The sequence below is a fragment of the Homo sapiens genome, chromosome 16, assembly GCF_000001405.40.
Source record: "Homo sapiens chromosome 16, GRCh38.p14 Primary Assembly".
Lineage (NCBI taxonomy): Eukaryota > Metazoa > Chordata > Mammalia > Primates > Hominidae > Homo > Homo sapiens.
The window spans coordinates 70,501,163-70,518,453 of NC_000016.10; the positions used below are offsets into that span (position 1 = coordinate 70,501,163).

General features: G+C 45.6%; 1 protein-coding gene across 4 annotated transcripts in view; it reads right to left on the minus strand.

The window, feature by feature from the left end:
- The window catches only part of COG4 (component of oligomeric golgi complex 4), a 42,988-nt gene that overhangs the window by 20,596 nt on the left and 5,101 nt on the right, over positions 1 to 17,291 (minus strand). For 3 of the 4 annotated variants that reach the window (NR_158212.1, NM_001195139.2, NM_015386.3), the window contains exons 3-8: positions 16,464 to 16,578; positions 13,173 to 13,347; positions 11,077 to 11,270; positions 8,754 to 8,859; positions 8,069 to 8,226; positions 7,244 to 7,302 (exon numbers count right to left, since the gene is read on the minus strand). Coding sequence is in view for 3 of the 4 variants with exons in the window: in NM_001195139.2 (NP_001182068.2) it covers positions 7,244 to 7,302; positions 8,069 to 8,226; positions 8,754 to 8,859; positions 11,077 to 11,270; positions 13,173 to 13,347; positions 16,464 to 16,578 (807 nt within the window). In the remaining variant the exon portion in view is untranslated. Of the gene's footprint in view, positions 1 to 7,243; positions 7,303 to 8,068; positions 8,227 to 8,753; positions 8,860 to 11,076; positions 11,271 to 13,172; positions 13,348 to 14,705; positions 14,879 to 16,463; positions 16,579 to 17,291 lie in introns of all 4 variants that reach the window. The other variant, NM_001365426.1, reaches the window with a different exon arrangement.

Below are 17,291 nucleotides of genomic sequence, written 5' to 3' on the forward strand. Positions count from 1 at the left end.
GAGTCCCAAATTCCCCCTCCCCACTGGGCCCATAAGGAAAAGCTCTGCCAGATGGCCCTCCTAGCTCTGCTGGCCCAATTAGAATCAGAGATAGCTGTCAATCACATTTTCCATTTACCTGCTTCACCTAAATCATTCACTCCCTAAAATTCTGCCAGACCTAAATAAAAGGTTGGGAGATGTGTCTTCTTTTCTTTACTTTTTTTTTTGAGATGGAGTCTTGCTCTGTTGCCCAGGCTGGAGTGCAGTGGCTCGATCTCAGCTCCCTGCAAGCTCCGCCTCCTGGGTTCACGCCATTTCTCCTGCCTCAGCCTCCTGAGTAGCTGGGACTACAGGTGCCCACCACCATGCCCGGCTAATTTTTTGTATTTTTAGTAGAGACGGGGTTTCACTGTATTAGCGAGGATGGTCTCGATCTCCTGACCTCGTGATCCGCCCGCCTCAACCTCCCAAAGTGCTGGAATTACAGGTGTGAGCCACTGCGCCCGGCCTATTTTCTTTTCTTTTTGAGACAGAGTCTTGCTCTGTTGCCCAGGCTGGAGTGCAGTGGTGCAATCTTGGCTCACTGCAACCTCCGCCTCTAGGTTGAAGTGAGTCTCATGCCTTGGCCACATGAGTAGCTGGGATTACAGGAGTGTGCCACCCCACCTGGCAGATTTTTTTTTTTTTTTTCAGATTTTTGTATCTTTAGTAGAATTGGGATTTTGCCATGTTGGCTAGGCCAGTCTCGAACTCCTGGCCTCAAGTGATCCTCCTGCCTTGGCCTCTTGAAGTGCTGGGATTACAGGCATGAGCTACAGTGCCTGGCCTCTTTTGTGGTTTGAATAAAGATTACCTATGACCAGGCATGGTGGCTCACGCCTGTAATCCCAACACTTTGGGAGGCTGAGGCGGGCGGATCATGAGGTCAAGAGATTGAGACCATCCCGGCCAACATGGTGAAACCCCATTTCTACTAAAAATACAAAAATTAGCTGGGTGTGGTGGCGCATGCCTGTAGTCCCAGCTACTCGGGAGGCCAAGGCAGGAGAATCGCTTGAACCCGGGAGGCGGAGGTTGCAGTGAGCCAAGATCGCGCCACTGCACTCCAGCCTGGAGACACAGCAAGACTCCGTCTCAAAAAAAAAAAAAAAAAAAAAAAAAAAAAAGAGGCCGGGCGCAGTGGCTCACGCCTGTAATCCCAGCACTTTGGGAGGCTGAGGTGGGCGGATCACCTGAGGTCGGGAGTTCGAGACCAGCCTAACCTAACCAAAACATGGAGAAACCCCGTCTCCACTAAAAATACAAAATTAGCCAGGCATGGTGGCACATGCCTGTGATCCCAGCTACTAGGGAGGCTGAGGCGGGAGAGTCGCTTGAACCCGAGAGGCGGAGGTTGCAGTGAGCTGAGATCACGCCATTGCACTCCAGCCTGGGCAACAAGAGTGAAACTCCGTCTTAAAAAAAAAAAAAAATTATCAGTGTCTCATGTGAAAGAAAACTCTCCAATCTCTAATTTAGCCCTGGCAGGATGTTAGGAAATACCATTAAACTGCCCTACACCCATTCATTTATCCTGATGAATAGCCAAAATAATCTTGAAAAATACAAAGTTGGAGGAATCCCACTTTCTAATTTCAAAACTAACTACAAAGCCACAGCAATCAAGACTATGTGGTACTGGCATATGAATAGATATATGGATTAATGGAACAGAACTGTGAGTCCAGATGGTTGACTGATTTTCAATGAGCGCTAGGACAATTCAATAAACAACGAAGGGTCTTTTCATCAAATTGTGCTAGGACAACTGAGATCCACATGAAAAAGAATCAAGTTGAACCCCTACCTCACATAATATAAAAAAATTAACTTCCTTTGCACACTGAAGTCCAAGAGGTCTTTTCTTTCTTTCTTTTTTTGTTTTGAGATAGGGTCACTGTCTGTCTCCCAGGCTGGAGTACAGTGGCACAATCACAGCTCACTGCAGGCTCAGCTTCCCTGGGATCAGGCAATCCTCCCACCTCAGCCTCCCAAGTAGCTGGGATTATAGACATGTGCCACCATGTCTGGCTAATTTTTGTATTTTTGGTAAAGACGGGGTTTCCCCATGTTGTCCAGGCTGGTCTCAAACTCCTGGGCTCAAGTGATCTGCCCACCTCTGCGTCCCAAAGTGCTGGGGCTACAGGTGTGAGCCACCTTGGCACCTGACCCCAAGACATCTTTACAAACATAAATCTGGTCATATCATATAGTTTCCATACCTCTCAGAATACAAGACTCTTAACAGCCTGACTCTAATGATCTCTCCATATCCACCATTTCAGGCTCTCCTCTACTCTTTGAACTTCAGCTACACTGGCCTTCTTTCAGTTTTTAAAATACACATGACCTTTGCACATGCTTTCCTTGCTCTATCTGGAATACTCCTCACATCTTAACTCCTACTTACTCTTTTTTTTTTTTTTTTTGAGACGGAGTCTCACTCTGTCGCCCAGGCTGGAGTGCAGTGGCGCTATCCCGGCTCACTGCAAGCTCCGCCTCTTGGGTTCATGCCATTCTCCTGCCTCAGCCTCCCGAGTAGCTGGGACTACAGGCGCCCACCACCACGCCCGGCTAATTTTTTGTATTTTTAGTAGAGACGGGGTTTCACCGTGTTAGCCAGGATGGTCTCGATCTCCTGACCTCGTGATCCGCCCGCCTCGGCCTCCCAAAGTGCTGGGATTACAGGCGTGAGCCACCGCGCCCGGCCAACTCCTACTTACTCTTAAGGTCTCAGATCTAAGGTCATTTCCTCAGGAATTATTTCTTCAACTTTCCCATACTAGGCTACATCTCTTTATGACATGCTGTCCTGCACCCTACACTCAGTATATCACAGTGGCTGACAGCATCCACTCTAGAGTCAGACTGCTTGGATTCCATTTCTCACCGCCATTTTCTAGCTGCATGACCTTGGGCAAGTCATCTGACCTCTCCAGCCTTCAGTTTCTTCCTCTGGAAAGTGTTTATGGATTAAATCAGTGATTTTCTACTGAGGGCGATTTTATTCCCAGCTCCCCCATTCCCCTACCCATACCCCCCTGGGGTATTTTAGCATCTAGTGGATAGAGGCCAGGGATGCTGCTAACCATCTTACAATGCGTAGAACAGTCCCCACCTAACAAAAAATTATCCAGTCAAGGCTGGGTGCAGTCGTTCACGACTGTAATCCCACTACTTTGGGAGGCTGAGGCGGGCAGATCACCTGAGGTTAGGAGTTCAAGACCTGCCTAGACAACACGGTGAAACCCCCTCTCCACTAAAAATATAAAAATTAGCCAGACATAGTGGTGAGTGCCTGTAAGCTCAGCTACTCAGGAGGCAGAGGCACGAGAACTGCTTGATCCTGGGAGGCGGAGATTGCAGTGAGCCAAAATTGAGCCACTGCACTCCAGCCTGGGTGACGGAGTGAGTGAGATTCTATTTAAAAAAAAAAAAAAAAAAAGAGGCCGGGCATGGTGGCTCACTCCTGTAATCCCAGCACTTGGGAGGCCAAGGCGGGTGGATCACAAGGTCAGGAGTTTGAGACCAGCCTGGCCAAGATGGTGAAACCCCATCTCTACTAAAAATACAAAAATTTGCCAGGCACACTGGTGGGGCGCCTGTAATCCCAGCTACTTGGGAGGTTGAGGCAGGAGAATTGCTTGAACCCGGGAGGCGTAGGTTGCAGTGAGCTGAGATCATGCCACTGTACTCTAGCTTGGGTGACAGAGCAAGACTGTCTCAAAAAAAAAAAAAAAAAATCCAGTCAAAATGCCGTTAGTGCAGAAGTTAAGAAACCTTGGATTAAATGATTTAATATTTGTTAAGTGTTCAGAATAGTGTCTGGCATACAGTTGACATTACATATGTATTAGCTATTGCTATTATCTACTTTATAGACCATAGATGCCACGAAGAAAAAATTATGTTTGCTTGCTCACTTTGCTTGTTGCCATATCAAGGACTAGTATCTGGCACATGTGTACTCAGTAAAACTTTGGTTGAATGAATATATTTTACGTTTGGATTTTCTTTTTTTTTTTTTTTTTTGAGACAGAGTCTCGCTCTGTCACCCAGGCTGGAGTGCAGTGGCACGATATTGGCTCACTGCAACCTCCACCTCCCGGGTTCACGCCATTCTCCTGCCTCAGCCTCCCAAGTAGCTGGGACTACAGGCACCCGCCAACACACCCAGCTAATTTTTTGTATTTTTTTTTTAGTAGAGACAGGGTTTCACCGTGTTAGCCAGGATGGTCTTGATTTCCTGACCTCGTGATCCACCCGCCTTGGGCTCCCAAAGTGCTAGGATTACAGGCGTGAGCCACCGCACCCACTGGATTTTCTTCTAAGAAGCACATGTTATTTTTATTGTAAAAAAGTAGGCTGGGTGCGGTGGCTCACACCTGTAATCCCAGCACTTTGGGAGGCTGAAGGCGGGCAGATCATGAGGTCAGGAGATCGAGACCATCCTGGCTAACACGGTGAAACCCCGTCTCTACTAAAAATACAAAAAATTAGCCGGGCGTGGTGGCAGACGCCTGTAGTCCCAGCTACTCAGGAGGCTGAGGCAGGAGAATGGCGTGAACCCGGGAGGTGGAGCTTGCAGTGAGCCGAGATAGCGCCACTGCACTTCAGCCTGGGCGAAAGAGTGAGACTCTGTCTCAAAAAAAGAAAATAAATGAAATAAATAAAAGTTTGGCTGGATACAGGGGCTCATGCCTGTAATTCCAGTGCTTTGGGAGGCTGAGGCAGGGGGAATCACTTGAGATCTGGGGTTCAAGACCATCCTGGGCAACATAGCAAGCCCTCATCTCTACCAAAAATTAAAAAATTGGCCGGGTATGGTGGCTCATGCCTGTAATTCCAGCACTTTGGGAGGCCGAGGTGGGTGGATCACCTGAGGTCAGGAGTTTGAGACCAGCCTGGCCAAAATGGCAAAACCTCATCTCAGCCGGGTGCGGTGGCTCATGCCTGTAATCCCAGCATTTTGGGAGGCTGAGGTGGGTGGATCATGAGGGTCAGGAGATCGAGTCCGTCCTGGCTAACACAGTAAAACCCTGTCTCTACTAAAAATACAAAAAAAAAAAATTAGCTGGGCATGGTGGTGGGCGACTGTAGTCCCAGCTACACGGGAGGCTGAGGCAGGAGAATGGCGTGAATCCAGGAGGCGGAGCTTGCAGGGAGCCGAGATCGTGCCACTGCACTCCAGCCTGGGTGACAGAGCGAGACTCCGTCTAAATTAAAAAAAACCTCATCTTTACTAAAAATACAAAAAAATTAACCGAGCGTGGTGGCACCTGCCTACAGTCCCAGCTACTTGGGAGGCTGAGGCAGGAGAATCGCTAAACCTAGCAGGTGGAGGTTTTGGTGAGTCGATATCACACCATGCCACTGCACTCCAGCCTGGGCAACAGAGCGAGACTGCCTCAAAAAAAAAAAAAAAAAAAAAAAACAAAAAAAAAAACATTTAGCTGGGAGTGGTGACTGTAATCCTAGCTAGTCAGGAGCTACTCGGGAGGCTGAGGCTGGAGGATCGCCTGAGTCCACGAGTTGGTGGTTACAGTGTGCTGTGATTGTGTCACTGTACCACTTCACTCCAGCCTGGGAAACAGAGACCCTGTTTCTAATTTAAAAAAAAAAAGTAAAAGTTTAAAATTTTAGGATAGTAGTTACCTTTGTGGGAAGGGAAGAGGAGAGTCACTCTGGGGGCTTCAAAAGTGTAGTCATGCTACATAAGAATATTTTGGTCAGAAATGAACTGCTGGGCTGGGCATGGTGGCTCATGCCTGTAATCCCATCACTTTGGGAAGACTTTGGGAGGTGAGAGGATCACTTGAGCCCAGGAGTTCGAGACCAGCCTAGGCAACATGGCAAAACCTCGTCTCTACAAAAAATACAAAAATTAGCCCAGCATGGTGGTGTACAATATGTGTACACCAGCTACTGATATGTGTCCCAGCTACTCGGGAGGCCGAGGTGGGAGGATTGCTTGAGCCCAGAAGGTCAAGGCTGCAGTGAGCCAGGATCATACCACCGTACTGCAGTCTGGCCTGGGCAACAAAATAAGACCCTATCTCAAAAAAGCAAAAAAACCCCAAAACAACAACAAAAAAAAACTGTATCGGTATACACAAGAGGGTTCCCATAATATTATACCTTTTCTATGTTTCTATGGTACAGTACATAATACTGTACCTCTTCTATGTTTAGATATGTTTAGATATACAAGTACTTACCATCGTGTTATAATTGTCTATGGTATTCAGTATAGTAATATGCCATGCAGGTTTATACCCTAGGAGTAATAGTTTGTATCATATAGCCTAGGTGTGTAGTAGGCTAAGTACACCCTACGATGTTGACACAATGGAAATCGTCTAATGATGTATTTCTCAGAATGTACTCCAGTTGTTGGCAGGGTATGGTGGCTCATGCCTATAATCTCAGCATTTTGGGAGGCTGAGGTGGGCGGATCACTTAAGGTCAGGAGTTCGAGACTAACCTGGCCATCATGGCAAAACCCTGTCTCTACTAAAATTATAAAAAATTAGCTGGGAATGGTGGTGCACGCCTGTAGTTCCAGCTACTTGGGAGGCTGAGGGAGGAGAATCGCTTGAACCTGGGAGGCAGGGGCTGTAGTGAGCCAAGATAATGCTACTGCACTCCAGCGTGGGTGACAGAGTGAGACTCTGTCTCAAAAAAAAAAAAAAGTATTCCAGTCATTAAATGACACGTGATTGTACTGATTATAATTTATTATTTATTTATTTTTTGAGACAGAGTCTCGCTCTGTAACCCAGGCTGGAGTGCAGTGGTGCAATCTTGGCTCACTGCAACCTCCGCCTCCTGGGTTGAAGTGATTCTCCTGCCTCAGCCTCCCGAGTAGCTGGGACTACAGGCACGCACCACCATGCCCAGCTAATTTTTGTATTTTTAGTAGAGACGGGGTTTCACCATATTGGCCAGGCTGGTCTCGAACTCCCGACCTTGTGATCCGCCTGCCTTGGTCTCCCAAAGTGCTGGGATTACAGGTGTGAGCCACCGCGCCCGGCTGATTATGACTGATTACACAATTTATTTATATATACTTTTGTTCATATGATACATTGCACTGAAAAATAAGAGTAATTGATAAAATATTTTAAAAACATAGACCACATTGTAACAGAGTAGTCTGAATTATATTACATGATTACCAATTCAAACTCCTGTGGGCTGAAGAAGAGAGAAGGATTATTACCTTGGTTCGATTTTTTCTGTTGTAGAATTTCTCATCAGGTTGTTCTGAACATGCCGGAACTGCAACATACCACAGGAATGAGAATATTCTTCCCCACCCCCACATCTATTGGCCTCTTGCTGGTCACTCCAAACTTTTGGCATACAAGAACATTTAGATTTAGTTTGTTTACCAGGTTTACCTTCCCTTCAAGCCAGCAGTGGGCTTTCAGGATGACAGGCCAAAGATTTGTTTTTGGGTTGGATGCTAATAATACTCACCTCTATTACTGTGCTTAAAAGTCATGCTAATGGTGTTCCAATAGACTACTGTTTATAGTCTCCTAGTCTGGAGTTCTAGAAATACAATTGTATGAGGCCACTCCTATTTCTATGTCGTACTTTTACTTTCTCTGCTCAAAAGAAGGAAAAAACAAAGTTCTGAAAAAGCAAACGTTATCTTTAACATCTTAGGAATGAAGGGGAAATTGGAGACAATTACTTGGACACTTAATAGGACCTCAAGAAATAGAATTGTCATTATATCATTAGAGGGCACTGTTGCACATTTTGTGATAGAGAACTGGTTTACTACTTCTGCTGTGTTCTTTTCAGGAAGCTCTTTTTATTTCCGTTTTGGTCTTGAACTGAGGCCATCATCATCTCGACAACACCTCAAGTCCAAAGTAAGCTGTCAATGGGCAAGATGCAGGCCAGTGTGCGCTTAGCATTTATTTTTCTCCTGTCTGCACCTTTTTTTTCACTTTTTCAAACCCTACAATTTATTCTACTCAGTGTTCCTCGCTAAAGCTGCTACCAAACCCTACCTGTAGCTTCCCCTGCTCACCTGCTGGTGGTAGTCCCTTTGCTTGATGAACTTGTCTACCACCTTCTCCACCTGTCTGTCACATTCCACCTGCAGATATTTGATCAGGGTATAGAGTCTCCCTGGCCCATAATAGGTCTCCACTATTGGCTGGTGGGTCTCCACAATGCGGGCAATCCCTAGAAGGGAGGAAGCAATAGGGTTATATTCCAAGTATTCTTCCTACAAAATAAACTTGCTCCCATCCAGGACTAACCGAAGGTCTAGCTCAATCCTTTTGGCTGCTTCACTTTCTAAAATGAACACAAATAGGCCTAGTCAATGCTAGGGGTTGCTAGGCAAATATGTTAAATATGTACAGTGCTTGGTACACCAGCAGGCATTTGGTAAGTTACATTGATACTGTTTTCTACAGCAGCATCTTTGGAAATCAGCATCACTCGCTTTCCAGTAATTTATTTTAGGGTTAAATTTATTCGTACAGAGTTTGGGGTTTGAGGGTTAGGTAGGATCAAAACACTGGAGAGACTCTAATCTTTGCTAATCAGGCACTGAATCTGGAAGTTATTTAATTCTCCAATCAATTAATACACAATAAACTACATGATTAAATTAAAGTCATCAGGCTAGAAGGGTGAGAAGAAAGGCTAGGATGCAGGTGTCATATACAGTCTCCAGTCTCTCTAGAGCGGAGAAAGAGGCTCACCTTCAAACAGAAGAGTAAGTGTATCTGCAAAGATGACTGCAGCTCTCCGATCACTCATGTCTGTCCCCAGCACCATGAGCAGATTCTCCTCAGCTTTACTGGCCACCTAAAAAAGGAGAAAACCCACACACATTCCTCAGAAAGGTCACCCTCATACCAGGTATATCTCAGTTTTCCAAAAATCCTCCCATTGACTTTCTTTTTTTTCACATTTCCCTTGATGTCTGGAAGCCCAGGCAGCACAGAGGAAACTCCCTTGAGGGACAGTCTGAGCCTCAGGCAGGACAAGGAAAGTGAGCATGGTGTAGCTCCTCTTCCATTATTTTCTTCTCTTGGAAAATATGGACTGCCATTAGCCAAGGGAGAGAGTCCCCAGTTTCAACAATCTTCTCAAAGGGTAACTTTCTATTATTTTTTAAAATAAGACAGAAACTCACTCTGTTGCTCAGGCTGGAGTACAAGGGAGCCACAGTCATAGTTCACTGTGGCCTTGAACTCCTGGACTCAAGTGATCCTCTCACCTCAGCCTCCTGAGTAGCTGGAACTATAGGCGAGAGCCACCATGCCCGGCTAATTTTTTAAAAATTTCTGTAGAGATGGGGTCCTGCTATGTTGCCCAGACTGGTCTGGAACTCCTGGCCTCAAGCAATCCTCTTGCCTCAGCATCCCAAAGTGTTGGAATTACAGGCGTGAGCCATTATGCCTGGCATGTTATCATTAACAGTGCTTTCTCAAGCACGACAAAACCTGGGTACTGCAGAAGGGACTTTTACTGGATTAAAGGTAGAAGCCATTTCTAGGTCCCAGATGTCAAAGTATACTGATAAAAAAAGTACCATAGAGCAGGTTTCCTTTTTTTTTTTTTTTGAAATGGAATTTCGCTGGTCGCCCAGGCTGGAGTGCAGTGGCACAATCTTGGCTCACTGCAACCTCTGCCTCCCCGGCTCAAGCGATTCTCCTGTCTCAGCTTCCCGAGTGGTTGGGCTTACAGGCACCCGCCAACATGCCCGGCTAATTTTTGTATTTTTTAGTAGACACAGGGTTTCACCATGTTGGCCAGGCTGGTCCTGAACCTCTGATCTGAGGTGATCCACCCGCCTCAGCCTCCCAAAGTGCTGGGATTACAGGCGTGAGTCACCGCGCCTGGCCTGTATTTTGTTTTTAATTAACTTTTTAGAATGAGTAAAATGCACACTTAAACATTCCAAAGGAACAAAGGAATATTCAGTGAAAAGTGGTTCTTCTTCTAACCTGTGTCTCTTAATTTCCCAATTTTCTTCAGAGGTGACCATTGTTAACCCTTCCAAAAGAAATCCTCTGCTTATACAAATATATCTTGATTGCTAACTCCCTCATTTTAAACAGGAATGACAACATATTGTTTTGTGCCGTTTAACAAACCACATGTTACAGAATAAAATATGTCAGCACTTAGGGAACGGTATCATTTTTCTTAACGGCATAATAATGGTCTGATAATTTTTTTGTGGGAGGGGAGTGACACACACAGACATATAGCTAAAAAACGGCCAGGTGGGGTGGTAGTCCCAGGACTTTGGGAGGCTGAGGTGGGAGGACTGCTTGAGGCCAGGAGTTCGAGACCAGCCTGGGTAACACAGTGAGACCGTTTCTATAAAAAAAAAAAAAAATTGCAACGCATGGTGGCATGTGCCTGCAGTCTCAACTGCTTGGGAGGCTGAGGCAGGAGGATTGCTTGAGCTTTAAGAGTGATTCAGACTGGGCGTGGTGGCTCACACCTGTAATCCCATCACTTTGGGAGGCCGAGGTGGGCGGATCACCTGACGTTGGGAGTTCGAGACTAGCCTGACCAACATGGAGAAACCCAGTCTCTACTAAAAATACAAAATTAGCTGGGCGTGGTAGCATATGCCTGTAATCCCAGCTACTCGGGAGGCTGAGGCAGGAGAATAGCTTGAACCAGGGAGGTGGAGGTTGCAGTGAGCTGACATCATGCCATTGTACTCCAGCCTGAGCAACAAGAGTGAAACTCCATCTCAAAAAAAAAAAAAGAGTGATTCAACTTGTCAGAGAACTTGCATTTTAATTTCACATGCTTTCGCCTGGTCTGTTGGAAATGAATGTGCACTGGCAGATGTCTTGGCCATGCCTGGTACACAGTAGGCTGGCAACAGGTGTGTTGAATGAACACATGCATCCAGTCCTGCATGGCTACACAGCAAGGGCAGGAAGGGGAGTCATATCCAGAAGAGAGAAAGTATCCACAGAAACTGGATCCATCCAGTGCCCCAATCTGCAGGCAGACAGCCACACAATTATCCTGCCAAGCAATCAGGGTCCATACCTGCTTGCAAAGGTACTCCGAGAACTTTCTTAATCCCTCCTCATGCAAACCCAGCAGTGGGAAGATCTTGAAGAAGCGCTCCACCTGGGGCAGATCACCTTCCTTGGTGGCAATGGCAAACTTCTCTGCCACAATGGCTTTGAGACGTTGCTCAGCTTCCTGCAGCAATTTCAGGTTGGCATCAATCATGCTCCCTGCTCAACAGGGAGAAAATGAAAATTCAAGTAAAGAATAGTACTGTGGCAGGTCCATGCCACTTTGTGTAATACTATTCATCCAGCAAATACGTATTAAGCACTTACCATGTGCAAGATGCTGTGCTAGTAATATGCATGATTACAAGATGAATCAGCCCTGATCCTACCATCACAGAAGTTAGGATCAGGTAGAAGAGATAGTTTGTGCACAAATCAAGATGATGAAATACAGTACATGATGTGTCATAAGAAAGGTGCCAAAGTCCGGGCACGGTGGCTCATGCCTGTAATCCCAGCACTTTGGAAGGCCGAGATGGCTGAATCACAAGGTCAAGGGATTGAGACCATCCTGGCCAACATGGTGAAACCCTGCCTCTACTAAAAATAGAAAAATTAGCTGGGCATGGTGGCATGCGCCTGTAGTCCCAGTTACTCAGGAGGCTGAGGCAGAAGAATCCCTTGAACCTGGGAGGCAGAGGTTGCAGTGAGCCAAGATCATGCCACTGCACTCCAGCCGGCAAAAGAGTGAGACTCCGTCTCAAAAAAAAGAAAGGTGTCAAAAAGTCACATTTCTGGTTAAAGTAATCAGAAAAGGCTTCCTAGAGAAGGTGACATCCCACCTCTCAAAGATGGGCAGGATTCTGATACCTGCACAGGAGAACAAACATTCCAGGCAAAGGGAATGAAAGACATGAATAGAAGCAGAAAGATGAAAAGAATATTTGCAGAGTATTCCAAGTAGCATATTCCTTGGCATATGGAGGAGCTTGAGAAATACTTGCACAATGAGTGGATGCATAAGTGAATAACATTAAACAAGTCTAGAAAAACAGAGTGTGTAAAGATCATGGAAGATCTAAAATATCAGGCTAAGAATTTCATTTTATGAGTAGGCAATATGGCCAAGTGCAAAGAACCCGCTGGCCAGAGAATCAGTAGATCTGGATTCAGTTTCCTTTTCCATAAAATGGGAATACAGTAGTCTCTTCTTATCTGTAGGGGATCCATTCCAAGACCGTTATGGATGCCTGAAACCATCGACAGTACTGAACCTTAAATATACTATGTTTTCTCCCATACATACATACCTACGATAAAGTTTAATTTGTAAATTAGACATAGTAAGAGATTAACAATAATATATAATAAGATATAACAACATACCATGATAAAGTTATGCAAATGTGGCCTCTCTCTTAAAATATCTTACTGTACTGTACTTACCCTTCTTGTGATGAAGGGACAGACAGGGTGGTACAAGATTTTATCACACTACTTAGAACAGCAAGCAATTTAAAACTAGTAAGATGTTTATTTCTGGAATTTTTCCTTAATATTTTTGGACTAAGGTTGACCATGAATAACTGAAGCTGCAGGTAACTGAAATGGCAGAAAGTGAAACCACACATAGGGGAGACTGCTTTAACAAAGCCTGCCCCAGGATGGTACAGGACCTACGTATGGCCTATTACCAGACAAGAAAACTTCCTGGCTGGGCGCAGTAGCTTACACCTGTAATCCCAGCACTTTGGGAGGCCAAGGCGGGCAGATCACCAGAGATCAGGAGTTCAAGACCACTCTGTCCACATGGTGAAACCCCATCTCTACTAAAAATACAAAAAACATTAGTGAGGTGTGGTGGTGTGCACCTGTAGTCCCAGCTACTCAGGAGGCTGAGGCAGGAGAATCGCTTGAACCCAGAAGGCGGAGGTTGCAGTAAGCCAAGATGGCACCACTGCACCCTATCCTGACAAGAGCAAGACTCCGTCTCAAAAAAAAAGAAGAAAAAGAAAAAAGAAAACTTCCTAAAAACTGATGTGTTTTTATTGGTCGAGTCTGCTTACTTCAGATTACAGATGATTTTAACTAAACTAAAAACCAACAGTTTCGGATGCTGACCCTCTTTGCCCTGTCGGCTGAGCTCAATGACCGACTTGTCCAGGCACAAGTAGCGATGAGTATGTGCTGCAGCCTGCTCATAATCTTCACTCCTCAAAGCAGTCTGAACTCCATCCATGCAGAACTTCAGGTCCAAGATGTCATCAGCTCTCTGAATGGCCTGATAGAGGCGGTTCTGCAAAAAGATTTGGTACTTACAAACAATGTCCTATTCTTTCAAAAACACCCCTCAAGAAGGTAGGGAGATTCAGGAGCTGAATCTGATCAACCATATGTCAATAGCAATCTCACAAACACCACCACTACTGTTAACGCAACTGTTATTGATGATGATCAAGACCATTGACAGATATCATACAATGTTAATAACGTGATCAAATCATTCTCTCTTTTTTTTTAGACAGAGTCTCACTCTGTTACCCAGGCTGGAGTGCAGTGGCGCAATCATGGCTCACTGTAACCTCTGCCTCCTGGGCCTAAGCTATCCTCCACCTCAGCCTCCCAACTAGCTGGGATCACAGGCATGTGCCACCATGCCTGGCTAGTTTTTGTATTTTTTGTAGAGGCAGGGTTTCATCAATGTTTCCCAGGCTGGTCTCAAACTCCTGAGCTCAAGCTATCCGCCTGCCTTGGCTTCCCAAAGTGCTGGGATTACAGGTCTGAGTCACAGAGCCCAACTTTTTTTTTTTTTTTCTTCTTGAGACAGAGTCTCACTCTGTTGCCCAGGCTAGAGTACAGTGGTGCAATCTTGGCTCACTGCAACCTCTGCCTCCTGGGTTCAAGCAATCCTCCCACCTCAGCCTCCCAAATACCTGGGATTACATGTGCACACAACCACAACCTGCTAATTTTTGTAATTTTTGTAGAGACAAGGTTTTGCCATGTTGCCCAAACCCAGGCTGGCCCTGAACTCTTGAGCTCAAGCAATTCATTCTCCTCGGCCTCCCAAAGTGCTGAGATTACAGGAGTAAGCCAGCACGCCTGGCCTACTTCATTTTCTTACCTAATTGCCCTGGATAGAACCATACAGCCACCAACTCACTATTAAGGTTTTTTTAGAACATGCTTGCGCCAGGCGTGGTGGCTCACGCCTGTAATCCCAGCACTTTCGGAAGCCGAGGTGGGTGGATCACGAGGTCAGGAGTTTGAGACCAGCCTGACCAACATGGTGAAACCCCATCTCTACTAAAAATACAAAAATTAGCCAGGCCTGGTGGCGCATGCCTGTAATCCCAGCTACTCGGGAGGCTGAGACAGGAGAATTGCTTGAACCCAGGAGGTGGAGGTTGCACACGCTGAGATCAAGCCATTGCACTCCAGCCTGGGCAACAGAGTGAGACTCTGTCTCAAAATCAATCAATCAATCAATCAATAAATAAATAAAACATGCTTGCTTGTTCTAGAGACATAGTAAGAGAAGACACCCTTGTCTTGTTCCTCATCTTAGGGGGAAAGAATCACACGTTTCACCAGTAAGTATGATATTAGCTGAGGGTTGTTTTTTTAAAAAATTTTTGTAGGACAGGGTCTTACTGTGTTCCAAGGTTTGGTCTCCAACTTCTGGCCTCAAGAGATCCTACTGCTTTGGTCTCCCAAAGTGTTAGGATTGCAGGCATGAGCCACCACACCTGGCCAGCTGTGGTTTTTCACAGATGCTCTTTATCAGGCTGAGAAGTTCCCCTCTATTCCAAATTTGTTGAGTGTTTCTACCACGAAAGGATATTGAATTTTGTTAAATGTTTTCTTCTGAGTCTATGAGGTGATCATGTGTTTTTTGTCCTTTTTTCTATTAATATGGTGTATTATTAGGATGGTGCAAAAGTAATTGCGGTCTTGGCCACTACTTTTAATTGATTTTCAGATGTTAAATCAACCTTGTGTTCCTAGGATAAATTCCACTTGGTCATAGTATATAATCCTCTTTATATATTGCTAGACTTGCTTTACTAGGGTTTTGTTGAGTTAAATTTTTTTTTTTTTTTGAGACAGAATCTCTCTGTCGCCCAGGCTGGAGTGCAGAGGCGCCATCTCGGCTCACTGTAAGCTCTGCCTTCTGGGTTCACGCTATTCTCCTGCCTCAGACTCCTGAGTAGCTGGGACTACAGGAGCCTGTCACCACCACTGGCTAATTTTTTGTATTTTTAGTACAGATGGGGTTTCACGGTGTTAGCCAGGATGGTCTCGATCTCCTGACCTTGTGATCTGTCCGCCTTGGCCTCCCAAAGTGCTGGGACTACAGGCGTGAGCCACCGCGCCCAGCCTTGTTGAGTACCTTTATGTCTATATTCATAAGAGCTACTGGTCTGAAGTTTTCTGTGATATTTTTGTCTGGCTTTGTTATCTCACATTAGATTTCTATTGAATGGTGCTCTTCTAATCTCTAATGTGGTAGCTTTTTTTTTTAAATAGAAGCTGGTATTTATTAACTTATTTATTTATTTATTTTTAATTTGCAACTCCACTCTGCAACTCAGGCTGGAGTACAGTGGCATGACCTTGGCTCACTGCAATCTCTGCCTCTTGGGGTTAAGCGATCCTCCTGCCTTAGCCTCCCAAGTAGCTGGAATTACAGGTGTGCATTACCACACCTGGCTAATTTTTGTATTTTTTAGTAGAGACACGGCTTCGCCATGTTGCCTAGGCTGGTCTCAAACTCCTGGACTCAAGCAATTAGCCTGCCTCAGTCTCCCAAAGTGCTGGGATACAGGTGTGCACCACCATGTCCAGCTAATTTTTGTATTTTTTGTAGAGATGGGGTTTTCCCATGTTGCCCAGGCTGGTTTTGAACTTCTGGGCTCAAGCAATCCTCCTGTTCTGGCCTCCTAAAGTGATGGGATTGTAGGTGTTAGTCACCACGCAAAGCCCCATAGACATTTTGATGTTGTAGTTAGTAGAGGGCAGTAAAGAAGCTATTGGCCAGGCAAGGTGGTTCACACCTGTAATCCCAGCATGTTGGGAGGCCGAGGCGGGCAGATCACCTGAGGTCAGGAGTTTGAGGCCAGCCTGGCTAACATGGCGAAAGGTGGAAGGATAACTTGAGCCCAGGAGTTCAGGACCAGCCCGGGGAACATGGCAAAACCCCATCTCTACAAAAAATACAAAAACTAGCTGGGCATAGTGGTGGATGCCCGTAGTCCTAGCTCCTCAGGAGGCTGAGGTGGGAGAATTGCTTGAGCCCAGGGAGTTGGGGCTGTAGTGAGCTGTCATTGTACCACTGTACTCCAGCCTAGGTGACAGAGCAAGACCCTGTCTCAAAAAAAAAAAAAAAAAAAAAAAAGCTTGATGTATTACCTTGGCCAGGTCAAGCTGACGAACTTTGCTGGACACATTCTCAGCCAGGTTGCAGGTAAAGGTGATCATTCCAGCCAGCTGCTTTGCATCTCCCTCAATCAGCTGCAGATTAGGACTGGAGAAATACATTGTTAGCATACACATAACGATAGGGCAGAGAAGAGACAGAAACTTTTTTTTGCATATGGACACTATGTCTTCTACTTCTTTCATACCTACCTGTAACTCTTAGCTCAGTTTGCTCTATACTCAGCTTTTTCTCAAGAACGTTTGACTGTAAACTCAGACCTATACCTGATAAAAAATTAACTCTTTTTTTTTTTTGAGACGGAGTCTTGCTTTGTCGCCAGGCTGGAGTGCACTGGCGCAATCTCAGCTCACTGCAACCTCCGCCTCCCGGGTTCAAGCGATTCTCCTGCCTCAGCCTCCTGAGTAGCTGGGACTACAGGCGCGTGCCACCAAGCCCAGATAATTTTTGTATTTGTAGTAGAGACGGGGTTTCACCACGTTGGCCAGGAGATGGTCTTGAACTCTTGACCTTGTGATTCAGCCTCCCAAAGTGCTGGGATTATAGGCGTGAGCTACTGCGCCTGGCCAAAATTAACTTCTAAAACCAATAAAGACACACCTAAATAGGTACAGTCAAAGAACTAGAGAACAAATTCTCTCAATTGCTAAGTGAGCATAAGATGCACTAACCAGTACCATGTGAGAGGATGGTGAGATCAAGGAACAATTTTTGTTTTTGTTTGAGACAGGTTCTCACTCTGCCACTCAGGCTAGAATGCAGTGGCACGATCATAGCTCACTGCAGTTTCCAACTTCTGG